The 6639-nt window shown below is 44.7% G+C and overlaps 2 annotated features.

Moving 5' to 3' along the window:
- Positions 4998-5652: an enhancer, noted in NCBI's record as "H3K27ac hESC enhancer chr1:248839638-248840292 (GRCh37/hg19 assembly coordinates)". NCBI's record gives its function as "activates a minimal SCP1, AML or CMV promoter by ChIP-STARR-seq in naive H9 embryonic stem cells {active_cell/tissue: H9 hESC(naive)}" and the evidence as "EXISTENCE:reporter gene assay evidence [ECO:0000049][PMID:30033119]".
- Positions 5653-6306: an enhancer, noted in NCBI's record as "NANOG-H3K27ac hESC enhancer chr1:248840293-248840946 (GRCh37/hg19 assembly coordinates)". NCBI's record gives its function as "activates a minimal SCP1, AML or CMV promoter by ChIP-STARR-seq in primed H9 embryonic stem cells {active_cell/tissue: H9 hESC(primed)}" and the evidence as "EXISTENCE:reporter gene assay evidence [ECO:0000049][PMID:30033119]".

Raw genomic sequence — 6639 nt, forward strand, 5'->3', positions numbered from 1 at the left:
CACCTGAGGCTCTGCAGGGAGTCCCCGCTGGCAGAAGGGTCCCCACTGGTCCACCTTAGGTTCTGCAGGGAGTCTGCGCTGGCAGGAGGGTCCCCACTGGTCCGCCTGAGGCTGTGCAGGGAGTCCGTGCTGGCAGGAGGGTCCCCACTGGTCTGCCTGAGGCTCTGCAGGGAGTCCCCGCTGGCAGGAGGGTCCCCACTGGTCTGCCTGAGGCTCTGCAGGGAGTCCACGCTGGCAGGAGGGTCCCCACTGGTCCGGCTTAGGCTCTGCAGGGAGTCCCTGCTGGCAGGAGGGTCCCCACTCATCCACCTGAGGCTCTGCAGGGAGTCCCCGCAGGCAGGAGGGTCCCCACTGGTCCCCCTGATGCTCTGCAGGGAGTCCCTGCTGGCAGGAGGGTCCCCACTCATCCACCTGAGGCTCTGCAGGGAGTCCCTGCAGGCAGGAGGGTCCCCACTGGTCCCCCTGATGCTCTGCAGGGAGTCCGTGCTGGCAGGAGGGTCCCCACTGGTCCTGCTGAGGCTCTTCAGGGAGTCCCTGCTGGCAGGAGGGTCCCCACTCATCCGCCTGAGGCTCTGCAGGGAGTCCCCGCAGGCAGGAGGGTCCCCACTGGTCCCCCTGATGCTCTGCAGGGAGTCCCTGCTGGCAGGAGGGTCCCCACTCATCTGCCTGAGGCTCTGCAGGGAGTCCCCGCAGGCAGGAGGGTCCCCACTGGTCCCCCTGATGCTCTGCAGGGAGTCCGTGCTGGCAGGAGGGTCCCCACTGGTCTGCCTGAGGCTCTGCAGGGAGTCCGTGCTGGCAGGAGGGCCCTCGCTGCATGTGGACCCTTGCCCTTGGACTTCTCAGCCTACATAATTGTAAGGAATAAATGTATTTTCTTTATAGAAAATGAACTAAGAGAATGTTATGGGTTTTCATAAAAGTGAATTTTTAAAATTCCTCATATTAGGAAACATAAAGAGGTAGTGGAATATTTATTTAAATATTGTTTTAACATAAACCCTACTATTTAATTATTCTACATATGCGCATTTTATGTGTGTTAACTAGAAACAGGGCTAGGCAGCCTTAGTGGAACTATGGTCTATTTCAAACTAAAATCTATGTATTAATATATTTATTAAATAGTAGTACTTAATGAAATTACTGAAGCTTTCTAGTGTCATAAACTGATGAAAATATAAGAGTTGGACAAGAGAGGGAGAGGTGTTTTCTCATCAACAGATTGGTTCATTTTGGACATTACATGGCAATGGAAAGGAAGGTGTAGTTCCCTGCCATGGTTTTAGCACAACTCTTTGAAAACACAAGCAGCAAAGTTGCCACTGTGATTCAGTGATTGAGAAAAAATTACTTAAATATTCTGAAATTTTAATAACACGTTAGGAATAAATGTTATATACTGTTTTTACATATAAAAAATAAAATTGATTACAGCTGTAGAAAATGAAACTCTAAAACAACTAGAAAATATATGGGTAAAGATTTGTCTAATGTATAAACAAAGACAACAAACAAAATACCATGTATTCATGGATATAAAGATGTCAACAATTGAAACCAGGGACTGCTAGATGGGGAACGAGTCGGGGGAGATAAAGGTTAGAAAGCTAACTACTGGGTGCTATGCTCAGTTCTTGGGTAATGGGATCACCCATAACTCAAACCTCAGCATCACACGCTATACCCAGGTAAGAAACCTGCACATGTACCCCCTGAATCTAAAATGAAAGTTGAAAAAACAAAGTAAATACTATGGAAAATAAATTAGGATTTGAAAAGAGAAAAAATATATATATATATATATTTGGGAATTAAAGAGTAGATTATTATTTTACTTGGAAAATTTTTTTGGATCTATGACAAAGCAAAAGATAAAGATTAGTAACATATAGCCATCACTTAGATATTATTAATATCAGAATAATGTAGACATATTTTTTAATTGCACACTTTACTAAAAAAGAATTTGCAGATAACACAAATACAAGACATTAATGATAAAAATGTAAACTATATCCAGAATATCTACAACAAGATCTCACTCTTACTGCTGAATTACAGAAAGAAAAAAAATAAATGATCATCAGTACTGTTGTGAATAAAGTAAAAAGATGTCACCAGGTTCTGCCCTCTGTCATGATAGATTGTTGAGAGGAAGCAACTTGGATATATAAATTAGAAATGAACACTTTTTTATTTAAAGACCTATCACAAAGAGAATCGAGGAATTCTTTACATAGATATTCATTTCAGTGTTGTTTTAGATAAGCAAAAATTTTAATAAGCCTACATTTAAAATAAGAGAAAAATGTTTTATAAATTCTGTTTCAAAGGCAAAATGTTATGAAACTTTAAATTATATCCAAAAATGTAATATTTCTTAAAGTAACTAAAGACATGAGCCTCTGTACACAATTTTATTTATGCAGATATAGAGCTATATATGGCATGATTCTATAGTATATATAGAATCTATGGTATATTCTATATGATATATAGTATATATACTTCTATAGTATATATAGAATATAAAAAAGATACTATATATTATCCATATTATATATTAAAAATATATATTGAAAATAAATTTTTATAGGAAATATATTTGATGATGGTATTGCAGATAACTTTATTTCTTCTTTTTGCTTCATATATATGTTAAATTACCTATGGTGCTCATAAACTGCATTTACAGAGCAAAAAAAGATATTCCACAAATATAATCAATGTAATCAAAACCACATAATGGCATTGACCTGAATTTATTATTTTTTACATGAGGAAAAACTGAACACATAATATCATTTCAAAAACAAAAGCTGGGTGGACATCTTGAACATTCTTGTCCAAATGCCACAGTCTCAGGCCCTATTGCCTTCTGAGCCAAGTTGAGGTAAGTAGATATACTAGAATGCTGTGGAAACTGAGGTAATGAAAGAAGTGATACAGTTTAAGGAGACAGAACGGGCATTGTGTAGTTAATTCAGCGTGACTTGCAGACTTAACAATGCGATAAGTTCATGGTCATGGTCACAGAAACATGAAAGAGAAACTGAGTTCAGCTGACGTACCTGACCACATCCAGTGCACATGACCCTCGCTTTTTCCTGGCCATGCTGGATTTCTTGGAGCTGACACACTTCCTCAGCAGAAAACTCTCTCCTCTTTTAGTTATCCCTGAGTGAAATGATCCTCATCTGGTTCCTGCATCCTTCACTGCTGTCCTTAATTACAATACCCTGACCTTTTATGTATAAAACTGGTCATATGAAATAGTAGAACCCATTTATTTGTCCTTTCTTTGCTCTTGGCGTCTCTCTCTTCCACAGGCCTGTGAGCTCTATAGGAGGAGGGATATCATCTCTCTAGTTCACAGTATCTCCCCACATTATAGCACAATGCCTAGAGCATGGCAGTCACAGAATGCATACCTATGACACTGCTGAGTAGAAGTAGTCTCCCATAGTGCTCCCCAGACACAGAATATATACCTATGACATTGCTGAGTAAAAGCAGTCTCCCGTAGTGCTCCCCAAACACAGAACACATACCTATGACACTGCTGAGTAGAAGCAGTCTCCCATAGTGCTCCCCAAACACAGAATACATACCTATGACACTGCTGAGTAGAAGCAGTCTCCCATAGTGCTCCCCAGACACAGAATATATACCTATGACATTGCTGAGTAAAAGCAGTCTCCCATAGTTCTCCCCAGACACAGAATACATACCTATGACACTGCTGAGTAGAAGCAGTCTCCCATAGTGCTCCCTAGACACAGAATACATACCTATGACAGTGCTGTTGAGTAGAAGCATTCTCCCATAGTGCTCCTCAGACACAGAATACATACCTATCACACTGCTGAGTAGAAGCAGTCTCGCATAGTGCTCCCCAAACACAGAATACATACCTATGACACTGCTGAGTAGAAGCAGTCTCCCATAGTGCTCCCCAGACACAGAATACATACCTATGACACTGCTGAGTAGAAGCAGTCTCGCATAGTGCTCCCCAGACACAGAATATATACCTATGACATTGCTGAGTAAAAGCAGTCTCCCATAGTGCTCCCCAGACACAGAATACATACCTATGACACTGCTGAGTAGAAGCAGTCTCCCGTAGTGCTCCCCAGACACAGAATATATACCTATGACATTGCTGAGTAAAAGTAGTCTCCCGTAGTGCTCCCCAGACACAGAATACATACCTATGACACTGCTGAGTAGAAGCAGTCTCCCATAGTGCTCCCCAGACACAGAATACATACCTATGACACTGCTGAGTAGAAGCAGTCTCCCATAGTGCTCCCCAGACACAGAATATATACCTATGACATTGCTGAGTAAAAGCAGTCTCCCGTAGTACTCCCCAGACACAGAATATATACCTATGACATTGCTGAGTAAAAGCAGTCTCCCGTAGTGCTCCCCAGACACAGAATACATACCTATGACACTGCTGAGTAGAAGCAGTCTCCCATAGTGCTCCCTAGACGCAGAATACATACCTATGACAGTACTGTTGAGTAGAAGCAGTCTCTCGTAGTGCTCCCCAGACACAGAATTCATATCTATGACACTGCTGAGTAGAAGCAGTCTCCCATAGTTCTCCCCAAACACAGAATACATACCTATGACACTGCTGAGTAGAAGCAGTCTCCCATAGTGCTCCCCAGACACAGAATACATACCTATCACACTGCTGAATAGAAGCAGTCTCCCATAGTGCTCCCTAGACACAGAATACATACCTATGACAGTACTGTTGAGTAGAAGCAGTCTCCCATAGTGCTCCCCAGACACAGAATACATACCTATCACACTGCTGTTGAGTAGAAGCCATCTCCCATAGTGCTCCCCAAATTTTCCATTCTTCAGTCACTTTCAAAAATATAACATTTAAAATTTACGCTCTCCCTCTCCCCTCTCCCCTCTCCCCTCTCCCTCTCCCTCTCCCTCTCCCTCTCCCTCTCCCTCTCTTTCCACGGTCTCCCTCTGATGCCGAGCCGAAGCTGGACTGTACTGCTGCGATCTCGGCTCACTGCAACCTCCCTGCCTGATTCTCCTGCCTCAGCCTGCCGAGTGCCTGCGATTGCAGGGGCGCACCGCCACGCCTGACTGGTTTTCGTATTTTTTTGGTGGAGACGGGGTTTCGCTGTGTTGGCCGGGCTGGTCTCCAGCTCCTAACCGCGAGTGATCCGCCAGCCTCGGCCTCCCGGAGGTGCCGGGATTGCAGACGGAGTCTCGTTCACTCAGTGCTCAATGGTGCCCAGGCTGGAGTGCAGTGGTGTGATCTCGGCTCGCTACAACCTCCACCTCCCAGCCGCCTGCCTTGGCCTCCCAAAGTGCCGAGATTGCAGCCTCTGCCCGGCCGCCACCCCGTCTGGGAAGTGAGGAGCGTCTCTGCCTGGCCGCCCATCGTCTGAGATATGGGGAGCTCCTCTGCCCCACCGCCCCGTCTGGGAGGTGAGGAGCGTCTCTGCCCGGCCGCCACCCCGTCTGGGAAGTGAGGAGCGTCTCTGCCTGGCCGCCCATCGTCTGAGAAGTGAGGAGCCCCTCTGCCTGGCAGCCGCCCCGTCCGGGAGGGAGGTGGGGGGGTCAGCCCCCCGCCCGGCCAGCCGCCCCGTCCGGGAGGTGAGGGGCGCCTCTGCCCGGCCGCCCCTACTGGGAAGTGAGGAGCCCCTCTGCCCGGCCAGCCGCCCCGTCCGGGAGGTGTACCCAACAGCTCATTGAGAACGGGCCGGGATGACAATGGCGGTTTTGTGGAATAGAAAGGCGGGAAAGGTGGGGAAAAGATTGAGAAATCGGATGGTTGCCGTGTCTGTGTAGAAAGAAGTAGACATGGGAGACTTTTCATTTTGTTCTGTACTAAGATAAATTCTTCTGCCTTGGGATCCTGTTGATCTGTGACCTTACCCCCCAACCCTGTGCTCTCTGAAACATGTGCTGTGTCCACTCAGGGTTAAATGGATTAAGGGCAGTGCAAGATGTGCTTTGTTAAACAGATGCTTGAAGGCAGCATGCTCGTTAAGAGTCATCACCAATCCCTAATCTCAAGTAATCAGGGACACAAACACTGCGGAAGGCCGCAGGGTCCTCTGCCTAGGAAAACCAGAGACCTTTGTTCACTTGTTTATCTGCTGACCTTCCTTCCACTATTGTCCTATGACCCTGCCAAATCCCCCTCTGCGAGAAACACCCAAGAATGATCAATAAAAAAAATAAAAATAAAAAAAATAAAAAAAGTAAAAAATAAATTTACATCTCAGTTTTCTTTCACTTAGTAGCATTTTTGTATCCAATGTCTCTTGTGTTTTTGACTTCCTCTGAACTATTCTACAATTCTTGGAAGACAGAAAATTAATATTCAAGGGCAATGTTCCCCACATTCAATGTCCCTGATTGATATTATTCATCGAAGACTGCTACATCATCTTTTCTCCCTGCCATAAAACAGGGTTTTAAAACAATCGCAGATTTCACAATATTGTCACTTGGATGAATTACTATTTTTCAATGATACTTCCTGGTTGATAATTATTGATTATTGTGGTTTTTGCCATTAAAAGCAATGGCAAAAATTGCAATTACTTTTTCACCAACCTAATACTTCTTCAGTCACTCAAAAATACT

The sequence above is a fragment of the Homo sapiens genome, chromosome 1, assembly GCF_000001405.40.
Source record: "Homo sapiens chromosome 1, GRCh38.p14 Primary Assembly".
NCBI lineage: Eukaryota > Metazoa > Chordata > Mammalia > Primates > Hominidae > Homo > Homo sapiens.